At 38.1% G+C, this 17369-nt stretch overlaps 2 long non-coding RNA genes across 5 annotated transcripts in view, besides 1 other annotated feature; one reads left to right on the top strand and one right to left on the bottom strand.

Moving 5' to 3' along the window:
* Window positions 1-17369, bottom strand: part of LINC02253 (long intergenic non-protein coding RNA 2253) — a 197799-nt gene that overhangs the window by 34196 nt on the left and 146234 nt on the right. The window lies entirely within an intron of this gene.
* The window catches only part of LINC02254 (long intergenic non-protein coding RNA 2254), a 151441-nt gene that overhangs the window by 123917 nt on the left and 10155 nt on the right, over window positions 1-17369 (top strand). Inside the window, exon 4 of the long non-coding RNA NR_120324.1 lies at window positions 155-238. This is a non-coding gene — a long non-coding RNA (long intergenic non-protein coding RNA 2254). The remainder of the gene's footprint in view (window positions 1-154; window positions 239-17369) is intronic.
* Window positions 10095-11294: an enhancer, noted in NCBI's record as "P300/CBP strongly-dependent group 1 enhancer chr15:97929831-97931030 (GRCh37/hg19 assembly coordinates)". NCBI's record gives its function as "activates an origin of replication core promoter dependent on BRD2, BRD4, P300/CBP, MED14 and CDK7 cofactors, with strong dependence on P300/CBP, by STARR-seq in HCT116 cells {active_cell/tissue: HCT116}" and the evidence as "EXISTENCE:reporter gene assay evidence [ECO:0000049][PMID:35650434]".

Genomic DNA, 17369 nt, shown 5'->3' with positions numbered 1-17369 from the left:
TCAAAGTCACACAGCTGGTGAGCTGAGTAATGTGGACAGAAACCCTTCCTTATCTTTAGGCACCAAGAACTCGACTCTGCCTCAGGAGCCTCAGGAAGCTCCTCGAAGGGGTCTTACTAAGGCCATTTCCTCCTCTAATTTCATGTGTTCTTAGGTTTCAAAAGGACTGGTTGAAAACTAAGATCTTAAATCAATTCATCGTGTTGGGAATGGAGCAGGATAGAGATCGTTCCTGAAGGTAAATATAAATTTGACATTTTCCCAAAATTTTACATAAACAAAATAAAGTGAAAAATTCTGAGGACAAGGTATTGAAACGAAAAGTATTTTGAGTTTAAGAAATAAAAAGGTGGTCTGTTAATTGACTTGTACAAATCATTTTCTTGATTTATTATGTAAGTAGCCACACATATTGAAATAGTTTTTAGTATAGTTTGGAAATTACATTTTAGGACTCTGGGGGATGGGGAAGGCTTAGTATGTGGAGACATCACCACCACATTAAGGAGAATTTCATTCTATAGTGGAGATGAAGAAAATACAGAAAACTGACATCATCCTTGCACTTTCTTCTCCTGAATACATAATCTCTCTTTAAGTAAAACACTAAATAAATTCATGGACTCAAGACTCAGGCTAAAACTAGATGCTTTCAAAGGCCCTGGTTAATGAGGAATCTTTTAAATGTGACATCTACAGTGCAAATTAACCAATATTGCATAGCAAAAATCTCTCACAAGAAATCTGGTCAATGGTTTATGACAAAAAAATTAATGCTTTCTGTCAAGAATAAGGGTTAAGTTTAGTATTAATCATAAAATGACCTTTAATTGCCAAACAAAAGCAATTTGTTATTTCACTACAATCCTGAACTCACCCTGAGCATTAAAAAAAAGTCATAATTTGCTTAGTATAAATATATTAAAGTATTAAGCCCACTCTGCTACTCAATTAGTAAACATGTCAAGGGGTGGGTGAGTTATTCATGGTTCAGAGGGCCAGCCCCTTTTTACAGGGAACTTTTTTCACTCTAATGAAATGATGGATAATCTGGAAGTAGGTGCCTTAAGAAGATATTAATCATTCTCTGTGGTAATGTTAATCATGCGTTCCATCATCTCCAGATGCCATGGATCACCTTCCTCTGAGACAAAGGGCACCTAAGCCAGGAGAGTCCTTTTGATCACCTTTCTACAGAGACCCTTACATGCGGCTGACATTAAGACAGCTTTAGATTTCAGGGCATCCTTAAGATAAAAATGGCTAATGTCGCATAAAACTCCTTCAGCTGATTTTTGAGCAACATAAGCTGAGATCTCTCTCAAGCCCTAATTATTTACCTTTTTTTACGTTGCTCATATTATAACAGGAAGAGACTTAAGCTATAGAAGTGGAACACAGAAGTCCATCAAGTAAAATCCATAAATGTACGTCTTGGCAAACTGCTTTTATAGTCTAGGCTTCTAATCTTACAAAATGTTAGTGTTCAGCGGGTCAGATTTATCTCTTAAAATGTCTCTGATGTCTCCTTGAGTTAATGAAACAGCATGCCTCCAGAGATACTTCTGGCCAATTAAACATTTTTATGGCCAGTGTTTCTTTAAAGAGAAAAAAATGTTAAGTGTAATCTGAGGGCATATCTTATGAGGCTAAAATAGCTCCCATCACAGACTAATTTTGAATGCTTCATAGACCCCAGTGCCTGAAGAAGAAACCTGGAATGATTCCTAATGCTAAGAGGTTGCTCCATATAAACTGCCTCGGAAAGATGAACCTGAGGGAAACCAGTAATACTCCCGTCATCCTGCAGAAGTATTAAGGACTCTAGAGGTTAGATAATATCTTCAAATACAAGAGGCAACATTTTCTTAAATCCACATGTGTACATGGCCCCATCTGCAACTGTACAAGAGGGTAACTGATGAGATTGTAAGATCTCCTTTGAAGGGACAACTTTACTTGCAGGCAAACACTCTCTGTATGATGGCTTATGATACTCAGACACAGTCACTAAATATTTTGATCAACATGTGTGTACACAAAGAGCGGGGGACTCACTTCTGGCCTGCTGGAGAAAACTGGTTACTTTGTTCTTCTCTCAAATTTAGCCCTCTAGTCACCCTCCCTGCTTGGTTGGTGTATCTCAATAATCCACCAAAGTAGCAAAATACGTTTATGTAGGTATATTTGTGATTTGCCTAATGGCTTGTTTTATTGGGTTTTCTAACTCCAAATACTTTTACCAACATTTTATTTCACCTCCAATTTTCCTCTACCCCCGTAAATAGGCCATATTCTAAACTTTGTCTGGTACCAAAACAGAGATATAGATCAATGGAAGAGAACAGAGGCCTCAGAAATAGCGCTGCGTATCTAAAACTATCTGATCTTTTGACAAACCCGACAAAAACAAGCAATGGGGAAAGGATTCCCTATTTAATAAATGGTGCTGGGAAAACTGGCTAGCCGTATGTAGAAAGCTGAAACTGGATCCCTTCCTTACGCCTTGTACAAAAATTAATTCAAGATGGATTAAAGACTTAAACGTTAGACCTAAAACCATAAAAACCCTAGAAGAAAACCTAGGCACTACCATTCAGGACATAGGCATGGGCAAGGACTTCATGGCTAAAACACAGAAAGCAATGGCAACAAAAGCCAAAATTGACAAATGGGATCTAATTAAACTAAAGAGTTTCTGCACAGCAAAAGAAACTACCATCAGAGTCAACAGGCAACCTACAAAACGGGAGAAAATTTTCGCAACCTACTCATCTGACAAAGGGCTAATATCCAGAATCTACAATGAACTCAAACAAATTTACAAGAAAAAAACAAACAACCCCATCAAAAAGTGGGCGAAGGACGTGAACAGACACTTCCCAAAAGAGGACATTTATGCAGCCAAAAAACACATGAAAAAATGCTCATCATCACTGGCCATCAGAGAAATGCAAATCAAAACCACAATGAGATATCATCTCATACCAGTTAGAATGGTAATCATTAAAAAGTCAGGAAACAACAGGTGCTGGAGAGGATGTGGAGAAATAGGAACACCTTTACACTGTTGGTGGGACTGTAAACTAGTTCAACCATTGTGAAAGTTAGTGTGGCAATTCCTCAGGGATCTAGAACTAGAAATACCATTTGACCCAGCCATCCCATTACTGGGTATATACCCAAAGGACTATAAATCATGCTGCTAGAAAGACACATGCACACATATGTTTATTGCGGCACTATTCACAATAGCAAAGACTTGGAATCAACCCAAATGTCCAACAATGATAGACTGGATTAAGAAAATGTGGCACGTATACACCATGGAATACTATGCAGCCATAAAAAATGATGAGTTCATGTCCTTTGTAGGGACATGGATGAAACTGGAAATCATCATTCTCAGCAAACTATCGCAAAGACAAAAAACCAAACACCGCATGTTCTCACTCATAGGTGGCAATTGAACAATGAGAACACATGGACACAGGAAGGGGAACATCACACTCTGGGGACTGTTGTGGGGTTGGGGGAGGGGGGAGGGATAGCTTTAGGAGATATACCTAATGGTAAATGACGAGTTAATGGGTGCAGCACACCAGCATGGCACATGTATACATATGTAACTAACCTGCACATTGTGCACATGTACCCTAAAACTTAAAGTATAATAAAAAAATTGAAAAAAAAAACTTTGTCACCTCGTAAAGCAGCCCTACCTTGGACATTTAATTTCAATTGCCAATTGCATGATAAAAGATGAGTATCTTTCTTTCTCATAACCTCAATTCTACTGAATTTCTTTATTGGCCTCAGTGTGTTTTGCCTCTATACTTTCCTTGTCTGGCTCATGGAACTGGTCAAAACCCTCTATTTCTGTATATCTTTATGTCCAATGCAACCAGCCAAACCTCAAATATGTAGTGATTTCACAAAATACACTAGGTTATTAAAGCAAATCTTTGACTCTACGGCCTGTTAAGTCAACTGGCCTCACTAATTTTCCTAATTTATGGACAACTCACTCAAAGTCTCCCATGAAGCTTCTTCACTCTTCTCAAGCATTGGCCCTGACTTTGTTCCCCTTTTTCTCAGCCAATGTTCTTACTGCCTTCTTATTGGAAAGAGAGAGGCCCTCAGAAGAATTCTCAATATTCTATTGCCTCGGGCACCAAAAATATGCCCTTTTCTATGTTCTTCACTTTTGTCTTCTTAAATGACAATATGTTCTTCTTTCTTTGTTAAAAATTCACTTGAGATCTTGATTTCATATTCTGCCTTTTCTTCTGGAATTGTGCTCCTGTACTCATGCTTTCTTGCTCCAGAACCTATAATTTATCTCAGTCATAAACAAACCCAAGGCTCTCTTTCTCTCTAGAATAAAAATGTTTCCTTCATTTCATGCCTCCTCAATCTCTCTCTCTCCCAATTATCATATAAAATTCTTAGAAGTAGAGTCTATACTTCTAGATCCTGTACTGATTTACATATATCTTCTCTCAAATCCATCTGGCATTTGATTTCATTGATGTATTGAAATTTAAATTTCTAAGGCCATCAGTGACTTCATAGCAAATATTCAGAGCTTGTTATATACCTGGTTTTATTCTAGGTGCAGGACACAGTAAGAAACAATATATTTAAGAAGAGACTAATAATTTTTTCAGAGCTTACATAATATTATATTGTCAAATGTAATGATTATTTATTTTTCTTGACTTTCTGGATCTCGTTAATTGCTTCATGTACCATTTGCATCACTTTAACAAATCATTCCCTATCCCATCCTTGTGTATTAGCCTGAAGTGTTAGTATTCTCTAGAGTTCTTAGTTTTTCCAATGTTCTTTACGACCATGCATTTTGTAGTTAATTTTATCCACTCTTATGTGTTCAATTACCCTTATATGCTGATTTCTCTTATCACTATAGTCTAAACTCTTCCTCTAATCATCAGACCTATACATCTCTGTGCTTCTGAGTTTCAAACACTTATATAGAGCAGAGACCGTCAAATTCAGGATGCCCAAATTTAACATGTCACCTGCTTAAGGTCAGCCATTTCTTCTTTTCTTAACTTAGTTATGGCACCAACAAAATCTGTCAATTCAAACTAAAACATTGAGGATCATGCTGGATTCTTCTTTCTCTATCCTTTTATCTAATAAAATATGTCCTCAAACATTCATTTTCTGAATATTTCCTGTTGAAATTATATTTCCTAATTATTTTACTCTGCTTTAAACCCTAAGTTCCCTCATGGGCATTAATAACTGCTTATTATCCTCCATCTCAATTTAATCATTCATAGAGCAAACACAATTTGACTATGATGAGACTTACAAGTTACTTAATGAGAGAATAAAGCCAAAGTCTTCAACATGGCATATAATATCTTGTATAATAGTTTCCATTGGCTTTGCCAGCATTATATTTGATCATTTTATGACTCACCACTTACATTTTACCACAATGAACAACTTTTATTTTCTTTTGCACACACAATACTTTTTGCTTATTTGTTGTGGTCATCGTTTTTTTTAACCTTCACGTTTTCACTTATGCTTTCCTATCTGCCTGGTTGTTTTTCTTCAGTGGTTTACTCAAATTCATGCTTATTCATCTCTCTCTCTCTTTTTTTTTTTTTTTTTTTTTTTTTGAGATGGAGTTTAGCTCTTGTTGCCCAGGCTGGAGTTCAGTGGCACGATCTCGTCTCACTGCAATCTCTGCCTCCCGGGTTCAAGCCATTCTCCTGCCTCAGCCTCCTGAGTAGCTGGGATTACAGGCACACACCACCATGCCCGGCTAATTTTCTGTATTTTTATTAGAGATGGGGTTTCATCATATTGGCCAGGCTGGTCTCAAACTCCTGACCTCAGGTGATCCACCCGCCTCGGCCTCCTAAAGTGCTGGGATTACAGGCATGAGCCACTGGGCCCAGCTGCTTTTTTTTTTTTTTTTTTTTTTTTTTTTTGAGACAGAGTCTCGCTCTGTTGCCCAGGCTGGAGTGCAGTGGCATGATCTCGGCTCACTGCAATCTCTGCCTCCCAGGTCCACGCCATTCTCCTGCCTCAGCCTCCCCAGTAGCTGGGACTACAGGCGCCCGCCACCACGCCCGGCTAATTTTTTGTATTTTTAGTAGAGACGGGGTTTCATTGTGTTAGCCAGGATGGTTTCGATCTCCTGACCTCGTGATCCACCCTCCTCGGCCTCCCAAAGTGCTGGGATTACAGGCGTGAACCACTGCGCCCGGCCTGCTTATTCATTTCTTAAGGCACATTGCACATGTCATATCTTCCATGGCAATATATTCTCATTATCTGTCACCTCCACACTATTGCTGAGTAGATGTCCATCCTGTATGTTCTCCAGCACTCTGTGCTTACAGTAGCATTTTATAATTATCTCTTCACAGGACAGGTCAATCTTACTAAATTGTAGTTACTCTACGATAATATTTCTAAATCCTCCTTTTATTCTTACTCTCTAACTCAGTGCCTGATATAGAATATTTCATGAAGATTTGAAAAGAAATTATTTGAAAAAAGGAAGAAAAGGAAGTTACTCATTATTCACCTTAAGAACTTGAAGCAGTGGCAGTTTGTGTTTTCCAAAGAGGCTACATCCATGCATACCATCCTACTTTCTCTTCCACAATGAAGGTGACCTTCATCCTTTAAGGGATGTGGGTATTTATTTTATTCATAAACATTTAGTGAATGGCAATGGCAACTACAAATATGGGCTTTGGGGATGCAAAGATTATTACCTTATGGTTTGTTCACTAATGATATCAGGAGAGGATATACATATAAAGACATAACTATATTACAGATTATAGTGAGATTAGAAAGGGCAGAGGTTCTTTAGGAGGAGCACAGATGAAGGTGTTTCTTTTTTAGGAGTTTGGAAAATGATCATAGAGGAGATGACATTTAAGTAAAACTTGGAAAAACCATTAAAACTTGGCCAAACAAAATCCAGGGAAAATATATTATGGAGAAGACTATGTGTGAAATTACAGGAAGTTAAATATGAGAAATTCGTAAAACCAGATGTAGTTCAGAAAGGCTGGGATGCAGGGTGCCTTTTTGGGGAATGATGGAAGATGCATGCTAGATCTTTCTTTCTCTGAAAAGTGAACTTTCTTTAAAAGATTAGTGTCAGGGGTCATTGGTACCCACACAGTTTTCCAACATCAGCTCTCTTCTAGCAAGTACTCAGAGATATGTCAGAGTTGGATCACTCTGGTGAACTAAACAAAACTGCATACTCACCCTTTCTTATTTTTTTGTCTGAAATATTCATGGTTGAACAATGTTTCTCCCCAGGGACTTGAATGATGATATTACTGAAGGCTCAATAGTGGTCTTGTCCTTCTTGTGCGGCAGGAGTCATTTCAGGAACAAATCTGCCCATGCTGAGGCCACTGGAACTCATGTGACTTTTTAAAGCAAGAGTCAGAATGTGCCCTTGGACAACCTACTTTGAGATGACCTCTACAAATATCACAGGCATGAATTGCTCTCATCCTGCTTCCAAGGCAGATGCTTTTGCTATTGTTTTCCTAAGATTGGGTCTTTCCTGAGGACTTACTGCACTGGCACAAACAATGCCTTTCCCCCAAGTCTGATAATGTCCCATGGTGGTGGACTCAATCACATTCCTTCAAGGTCTTCTCACCAGGAGAAGCTAAGCACACACCTCCTTGTTCCTTCAACTCACAGCCAGTAACTGTTAGAAACATACACAAACAGGCCTCTTATAAGGGTAATTATTAATGTTCACATGTAGTTTAAATGCATAAAAAGAAAACATTTCCAAAGAGCCTCTTAATTTGCATATCTGCCTTGCTCACAGTAAAGTTAGTACTTCTTTTCTTTTCTTCTTTAATTGACATATATATTGTACATATTTACGGAGTATATAGTGATGTTTCTATACATTTAATGTATAGTGAGCAGATCAGAATAATTAGCATGTCCATCATTTTGAACATTTATCATTTCCCTGTGTTGGGAATATTCAGTATCCTCCTTCTAGCTATTTGAAACTATCTAATATGTCTTTTTTTTTTTTTTTTTTTTTTTTTGAGACGGAGTCTCACTCTGTCACCCAGGCTGGAGTGCAGTGGGATGATCTTGGCTCACTGCAACCTCCGCCTCCTGGGTTCAAGCGATTCTCCTGCCTCGGCCTTTTGAGTAGCTGGGATTACAGGTGCCCATCGCCACACCCGACTAATTTTTTAAACTATATTTATCCTACAGTGCTATAGAATTCTGCAGTTTGTTGAGTCAGTACTTCTGTTCCTCACTTGAGCAACTATATAAAGATGTTGTTGATTATAAACACATTATCAGTTAAAAGTAGCAAGGAAATCCTACCACATGAAATAGCCATTTCTCAATTAAAATGTGCTGGCATATATTAGGATTAAATATTTATATGTATAATATAAGATAATAAAAAGCCTATCTTAGAACTTTAAGATAGGCTTTATCTCTATTTCATACACCAGTTGAAAGTTAAGTAAAAGATTCATACCCAATTTAGCAAAATTCTAACTCACTCTCAGGTTTCCTTAATGGCTTAGTCTAAAGACTTACCATATTTCCTAGGCATCATTCTTCAAAGTGATACTCTGAATGAATGTAAAAATTATATGCTAACTTTTTTGAATTTTTGAAAATTTATTTTTAATTTAGTTTTGTATCAGTGGTAGTGGGTAGTTGGCAGGAATACTGGAATCTCCTACATATTATAAAGGTATGGTATCTAGTAGCTGAATATTTTTCCTGCTACAATCAATTATGTTAGTGTTTTTTGGTCAAGACAAGTTAATGAAAATAATTATTTTTTCCCATGGATATTCACCAAAATATAGACTACAATAAAAATTATGTGCAATATTGAGGATGAGAGAAAATAAGTTTTCTAAAATTACATATAGAAGTTGAAAAAAAGATTTTTACTAGTTTGTGTTGATCTTTCTATGCCAAGTAGATATGAAAAATACTTGTTGTTTGAGTACAGTGCATCATAGCACAACTTATTACCCTAAAGATTTGGAAAGGTGACAGGTCAAAGGATGCTCTCCCATATGCCTGAAGCAAACATGTTTCATAAAATAGTCACAAAATTTAACTTAAAATATTGGCAGTTTCTCCGCTATGTCATACCAATAATCGAACAATTTTCGAGTTTTAAAATTCTCTTAGCATATTAAGAAATAGGTTACCTATGTCACTACTAAATAATAAAAGTGCCATCTTCTCCTTATATGCTGACAATAGCCTATGAGGTCAAATTTATAAGAGCAAAATGTGAAGTGGCTGGCAGGATGTTAAGGATACCTGGACTTATTGTGAATCATGTTGGCCTTGTCAAAGGACACCAGTTGCTACCTGGGACCATGGTCACACAAGGAAAATACCATGGGAAAACAATTGCCTATATTATCTAGATAGAAACACTTTAGTTCAGTAATTGGCAAAAGCACGTCTCCTATAGCCCCATTTTCTTTTGCAAACTTCCAACTTAATCTGCTTAAGCCCATTGCTTTTCCTGACATTCCCATGTCCTGAAAACCATTAGCCTAACTTGTATTTGTCGGGACTATCTATATCCTTGGACTATTTATAAACGCAAGCTGTAGTTAGAAGACAAACCAGGTTGATATACTCTGATTCTTCCTTTGTATTTGTTGTTAAAAAGTGCACTCTTTGATGTGTTCACACTCATTTCACAGGGACGTGCTGATACAGCTTGGCCAGTAAATAAAAGGCATCATGGGATAAGAGAAAGAAGTAGACCTTGAAGTGAGGCTGGCCTACACTTAAATTGTGACTCTATCACAGCTATGTGGATGACCTCAAGCCAGTTATATGGCCTCTCTGGCATTCAGCTTCCTCATCTGTAAAACAGAGATATTCATAAGTGTAAATGACCAGTTATGGGCCTGTTCTGGGGTATCAGCTCAGTAATTTATAGCTATTGAGTTTTTCTGGAAATACAATCCTCTAGAGGGTGAAGAATTAGTTACATTCTGCTCTCTTCCCTCAGGTCACACCTGGAGATTTTTTCTTTATTTCTGGAGTCCACCTTTAAGGAAAAGGGGTTTTTATGAATGAGCAAATGCACCAGAACAGTATAGAGAATCAAGATTTTGTTCTGTGAGCGATGGCATGGAGGAGAGACTGTGTGGAATGGGTAGGAAGTTTTGTAAAATAATTGCAGATATATAATGTGTGAGAAAATGTAGAACTATTCACATGATCCCAGGGAGCAGGACTGAGACTGGAGTGTAGAAACTTCAAGTAAGCAAAGTTGTAGCAATAGAAAGGAGAACTTGGTCATAATCCAATAGCTGACACAAGATGTACATCTGTCCAGACAGAGGCTGGCTAACTATTTGGTCAGTAGTCTCTACAGGCGGGCTGAGTAATAGTAAAGTGAATTGTACTATTTGGTATTAAGAAGATGTCTGATCCTAAGAGTTTATTTCAATTCCATGTGAATTACATAACTTACAATGACAATTTAGTGGTCAATTTCAAAAAGTAGTATTCACCAAGTCCAGTGAGGTAGAAACCACCAGACACGGTCACCTCCTCCTTCTTTAATCATCCTCTTTCCATTTTTCACTTAAACCCTCTCCTCTGCCACCAAGTCAATCTAGGCCCTCTGCCATCTGGTCCTAATATATGTTCCCAGTCTCACAGGCTGCTTTCTGCTAACTGGCATTCCTAGCTGTAACCACACCCAGGCTGCTTATTCATGCAAATGGAAGCCATGACTTCTCTAGCCTCCATGCCTCTGTCCACGCACGCCATATACCTAGAAAACCTCCTCTCCTCCCTTGGTCCTAACAATTTCTCTTCTTGTCAAACCCTAGCTGCGGTTTTAGGATCATGACTGTTTCTTTAACAATACCAAGACAGCCCCGAGGCCAGGACCATACCTCCATGTTTGCCATTGTCTCAACAATGTCTTGTCAATGTGAGGTCTTTTCGATGTTAAAAGATATTGATTTACCAGAAGCATTTTTCCTTAAAATAAATAAAAATTAAAACTTAAAGAAAGTTATGGGATTTTTGCAGGCATTTTCAGCTGTAGTCATGTTGGCTAGTCTTTAGTGAGATATTGTTCTACCAAAGTTTGGATACACAAAAACAATAGAAGATCTACACCAAAATTTTAAATAAAATATAGATGACACGAGGCATTTCAGGCAGCAGATTTACTGTAGATGATGATTTTCCACATTTCCCAGAAAATTGTAACCACAAGCTACTCTGATTGATGGGGTCAGGCTCCGACTGAGAATCCGATTGGAGCTTCTCCTGGCTTTGACAAGGACGCCTGCACTCCTCTAAATTAGACAGGGCCTCTGCTCTCTGTCGGGTACAACCCAAGCCCACATTGCCTGTTTAAAGAAACAGCGATTTTTGTTAAGATCCAGGACACAGACTTTGAGGACACAAATGCATACTTTTTCCAGCTTTTCTCCCCCTCTAGTAAAACAAAGGCTTTGAAAGCATTGCATATGCATGCTTGCAGCCATTGCATTCTGACTGTCTGTTGGTTGATGATGATATGAATATCCAGCATCAATTGTTTCCAGGTTATTTTATGAAGGGGATCTATTCTAAGTTACCTTTTCCAATAAGGTAAAGACATCATTTCTTTGAGGGTCATAGTTGCAATGTACAAATACTTCCCAAAACAGTCATCTCTATGGCTGCCTTCTCTGGTTGATCTGAGTTTTATAAGATGACTCAGCATGCAATCTTAATCTTGCCTTGACCTCCAGTGCCCACTTTGCCTTGTAAGCCCTCATCCAAGGAGGATGTAAGATCTTTGTTGCTACCTGCTGCTTACTGAGAGACCATCTTCCCTTCCCAGTATTGTTTCCATCAACTCCATTGAGCTCCAACACTGCTTTCTTCTTCACCATGTAGTTCTGTGCTGAAGCTAGAGCCCAATACATTTGGTTGCCATCCTGATTTGGTAGCTCCTTCCTCTTGGGCTCCAGCTGTACGTAATGGCTCAGTTCCTCTTTTGAACGGGCCCACCAACTGGCAGTGGCTATTTGTCTTTGTGAGTGTCCACTCGCAAATCCTACCTCTGACAAATCGTTGGCACTTCCACTGCAGGACTCTGCCCCATCAGGGATCCACCAAAGGATATCAATAACACTAAGACCTTGCTAGTTTTCTCTTCACTCAATAGTGAAAATGGAATTTGGGGATAACCATAGGGAACTGAGCCAGGACACAAATGATTTAATCATTAATATCTTAATGAAATATTGGTTGGAAATCTACCATATAACAGGGACCATACTAAACACTGCAAATATATATAGGCAGTCAGTTTCTTAAAGAGTCAGAGCCCCTAGAATAAGATGAAGCTGAATTTTTCTTTGCATATATTTAAATGTTAATAAGATAAGCCCAAATAAGCCAGAAAATACAACAAAACAATACAAAAACAAAAATACATCAAAGCCGTGAGAATGCACAAATACACTTGGGGAGCAAACCAGGCTTAGCGCCCTCCTTGAGAACCTTTATATCTCTGTTCATCAGTCACCTTCAGATTCTCAGGGTGCATCAGAGACCCTGAATGAATGACTTCTGATGTACAGAAAATTACATCTTCCGAAGTTTGATTAACAAACTTAATCAAACTAAACTATGTTATAATGTACACTTGAAAGGAAAGCAGAATCTCTCCTTTAACAAAAGGCACTAGAATTAGAAAGAGACTCATTTATTTATTTGAATGTTTGGTGCTATGCTAGGCAGGATAGTGGCCCCTCAAGGATGCCTACACCCTAATCCCCAGAACCCGTGAATGTGTTCTGGCAAAATAAATTTTGCAGATATAATTAAATTAAATATATTTGGATAAGAAGATTAACCTGGGTCATCTGGGTTGGCCCAATGTCAACACAGGGTTCACATGCAGAGAAACAGAAGGGTCAGAGAGAGAAGGAGATGGAGGAATAGAACCAGAGGTTGCAGTGATGGGTCATGAGCCAGGGAGTAAGGGCAGGCTTATTCCTCAAAAGCTGGAAAAGCAAGGATCAGATTCTTCCCTCGAGCCTCCAAAGGGTCACAGCCCTGCCAACTCATTTCAGATTTCTGATTCTCAGAACTACAAGGAGATAAAACTGAAAACTTCTGTTGTGTTAAGCCACTAAGCTTGTGGTAATTTCAGCAGCAATAGGAAACTAGCATAGGCATATAAGGCATTAAATCAACGAATATTTCATTTCCATTGGACTTCCAGGAAGAAATTATCTGTATGTGTTAAATTGGAAAACGTTGCTGATAATTCATATGGAGAAGAAAATCTACAGCTCATCTGAATTTGATGTGTTCAGGTGATTCACAAATAATGTGAATAAAATAGATGGAAAACAGCACAGTGCTTTATGATCTTAGTGTTACACTTGACTCTGGACAAGCACAATCAGGAAAAACAACAAAGGGATTCCTGGGAGCAGATGCTCATTAATATGATGGTTACATAGAATTTTGTAATAATTCTTTATGAAAGTAGAGACATTAACAAAATATACACATTATCTGAACTCTTTTTTTTTTTTATCAGTTCAGTTACAGGGAAGAAGTATATAATTTGGAAACTAATGATTTCAAAATAAGTGACAATTTAGAGAAGAACACATCGAGGCTCATGTCTCAAGCTTAACATCAGTGACTCTGAAGGTCCATAAGTAACTTCCTGAAACTGTTGGTTAGAATCATTTAAGGAAACTACATTTGTAAAGGATTGGGTCAGTGGTCAATGTCAATACCAAAACAAATAAAATCAGTATCACTGGGGGTAAGGAGGGGAAAAAGAAAGAAAGGCAGGCTATAGTAAAACCTCAGACATTTCAAACTGCTCAGTAATGCACCTGCCTTTAATACAAATCATTAAAACACTGAAAAGCCGTTATCTTGTCTTTCTTAAAGTTTCTGAAATTTGTAATATTATGGTGAAAATGTTGGTATTATTACTTAAATTTCTACTTTTCTTTAGGGAGGAAAAGCAGTAAGGACTGTTCATTGGCGTCATTGTGTCCACCTCCATATGACTCGCATACCTGCTCCACTGCTCTGGTTCAAGACAATTAATCCTAATATCCAACCCCTCCTGTGGTAATTTCTCATCTTGGCAGGTCTCTTTCTGTAATAGCTAAAGGGGAGTGGCGAGTTCCCAAAGCCTGAGCTCAGCCAGATGCACTTTTCCTCATAGACATGAACAGCCTGTTCTGGTCTCACTCTTTTTCTCCTTCTTGTCCTTCTCTCCTTTCCTTGTTTCCTCTTATCTTTTCCCCCTTCCTTTTCATCTCTCCTTTCTTTTCTTCCTCCCTCTTTTCTTCCCTTCCTTCATTCATTTTCCCTCCCTCCATTCCTTTCTCCCTTCTTCCTTCCTTTCTTCTTTCCTTCCTTCCTTTCCTTCTTCCTTCCTCACTCCTCTCTACCTCCCCTCCTGCCCTCCATCCCTCTCTCCCTTCCTTCCTTTCTCCCTCAGTTCCCTAAAAAACAGTTTGACTTCAAAAACAAAGATAAAGCAAAGCAAGTCCCACAGAAATCTCACCCAGGATTTCTGCATAGCGGAGAACATTTGCTGTAGCCCCTTCTACCAAATATAATTAGGTGATTGACAAATGGCAGGTAGCAATGCAGATGGAAATAACCTCTATTATCATGCCTTCCTGACTCAGGGAAAAAGCTCTAGTGCCCTAATTTTTTCAACCCAATTCCAATTTCATATTTATGAAAAGCTAGTGTCTGCCACTCCCCAGCAATCTGCTTATTGAACATACTTTTCTGCAAGCATAATTATGTCCCCCATCCCTTGATATTGCACCCTTTTATTTCATTTTCCTCTCCACCTCCTGCTGTGCTGACTGCCATCTCAACACTCCATGCTCTGACCAGGAGAATAGGTCATTGATTTTTTTTTTTCCCAAAGCCAATATCACTCTAAGAATTGGTCTTGATCTCCAGAGACAGTGAGTGTAAGAGAGAGAGAGAGAGATGGGGAGAGTATGATAACACTGCCATAGGACACTGGGTCGAAGGTCCCTATCCACTCTGGGGCAGCTACATTGTGTTTCCTCCCTCCCCTGACGCCATCTCCTCTAATGACAGATGCTCCTGTGTGAGTGCTTATACTGGAAATTGGATGTCATTTCTGCCTGGGCATATGATTATCATATGTACACATGAGCTTTAGCCAAGATCTGCATTTGGAAAGCAAGTGAGCAACAAAGACAATATCCGTTATCAGTCTACAATTTTGGATAATCTTTTTAACCAGCTTAGACAGACTGCGCATCACTTATTCACATTTTAGATAGCTTGGGCAGACTGAATATTTACCAATGACTTTGCAAACTAACACTCTTTGTAAAGTTATATGTTACTCCTAATTTGAAGGCAACAAAAAGGACAGGCTGCTGGGTGGTGACTAGGATTGGTAGACACCTCTTTTCTTCTATGATTCTGAGATTTGACTTATAATACAGCCTGAACATATGCTTTATTGTACTAGTGAAGAAACAACCAGCAGTTAGTAATTGACTGAGAATCTATTTCATGCCAGGCTCTCACCTAGGCACATGGAATATGGTGAGAGGCCAAGCAGACAAACATAGTTTTTTCCAGTAGAGGGGAAGAAGGTGCAAATAAGATTGTACTCTTAACTGTATGTGAACTTGATTTGACTGCTATCTTCAAATGATCACTTTGATTTTACTTGTATGTGAGGGAACTGCTCTGAGTATAGTTAGACTTAGCTTAATACTTTTATCCTTTTGACTATATTTTGGGTCTTGTATCCATACATTCTTTTATTATTTTTAAAAGCATTAGAAACCAGTTATTTCTATCATATAAAGTAGATCACTAAAAGAAAAACCTTTCCAGATATTTTTTGTGTAACCTATAACCATTTTACAAAAATATTGTGTTCCCATTCTCCCCCCTTTTTATTTTCTGTAGGTGTTTGTGTGATTGGTTTTGTTTTGTTGGTTCAGTTTTGGTTTTTGAGCGCCCCAATATCTGCATCATCTGAAAGGATTTTTTTTTCTTGGACAAATCATGCAACTCACCACCCACCATGCACCTGTTTAGCTTTAATTAATATGATGAATCCTTGCCTCCTTACCTAAAGTGAAGTGTCTAAGGCTAATACATTAAAGATGCCACACACAGATAAGTATGACTGTTAGAACAATTCTGATATTATAAACAGGAATTATTTTGTGTATATACATAACACCTTTTTCTTCTACCTCATTTTTTTCATCTTTTTCCAAATTCATCATATTACATCTCCATTAATAATTAACTATGCCTTTGAAAAGTGATGACTATTTCCCCTGGTTCATATTCTAAATATGAATGCTCATGTTTTACTATTTTTAACATAAGTTTTCTTCATTATCTAAAGATAATCCTCCATGTTCCTTCAACTTCCATATATTTTCTGAAAACATAATAATTAGTTAAATGTTTTTATTTGACCATCTAATTTTCTGCATATGTCAGTTCAGTTTCTCATATCTGAGGCTGAGACATCTTGAATACTGCATCATAGTATGGATTCTGAAATTATGTACTTAGTAGATAGCATATGTTGATGGTTTTTTATGTATCCATATACACACATTCAGGATGCTTTGACAAAAACTTGATAATGTGGATCACAGATCAACTAGGTAAAAAGCAGTTCTTTTATAGTGGCATCATTTATAATTGCCAGAAACTGGAAGCAACCAATATGTCCTTCAAATAGATGAATGGATAAATTCAATTCTTCCTATCCATGAGCATGGAATGTTTTTCCATTTGTTTGTGTCTTCCCCGATTTCTTTCAGCAAGGGTTTGCAGTTCTCCTTATGGAAATCTTTCACCTCCCTAGTTAGCTGTATTCTTAGGTATTTTATTCTTTTTGTGCCAATTGTGAATGGGAGTTCGTTCCTGATTTGGCCCTTGGCTTGCCTGTTGTTGGTGTACCGGAATGCTAGCTATTTTTGCATATTGATTCTGTGTCCTGAGACTTTGCTAAAGTTGTTTATCGGCTTAAGAAGCTTTTGGGCTGAGACCATGGAGTTTTCTAGATACAGGATCATGTCATCTGCAAACAGAGATAGTCTGACTTTCTTGCCTCCTATTTGGATGCCCTTTATATCTTTCTCTTGCCTGATTGGCTGGGCCAGAACTTCTAATGCTATGTTGAATAGGAGTGGTGAAAGAGGGTATCCTTGTTTGGAGCTGGTTTTTAAGGGGAATGCTTCCAGATTTTGCCCAGTTAACAGGCTTTTTAAAGTATCTTTTGGTGTTCA

This window comes from Homo sapiens, chromosome 15, assembly GCF_000001405.40.
Source record: "Homo sapiens chromosome 15, GRCh38.p14 Primary Assembly".
Taxonomy (NCBI): Eukaryota; Metazoa; Chordata; class Mammalia; order Primates; family Hominidae; genus Homo; species Homo sapiens.
Note: the sequence above shows the minus strand (reverse complement) of the source record. Positions and strands in the feature narration are given on the sequence as shown.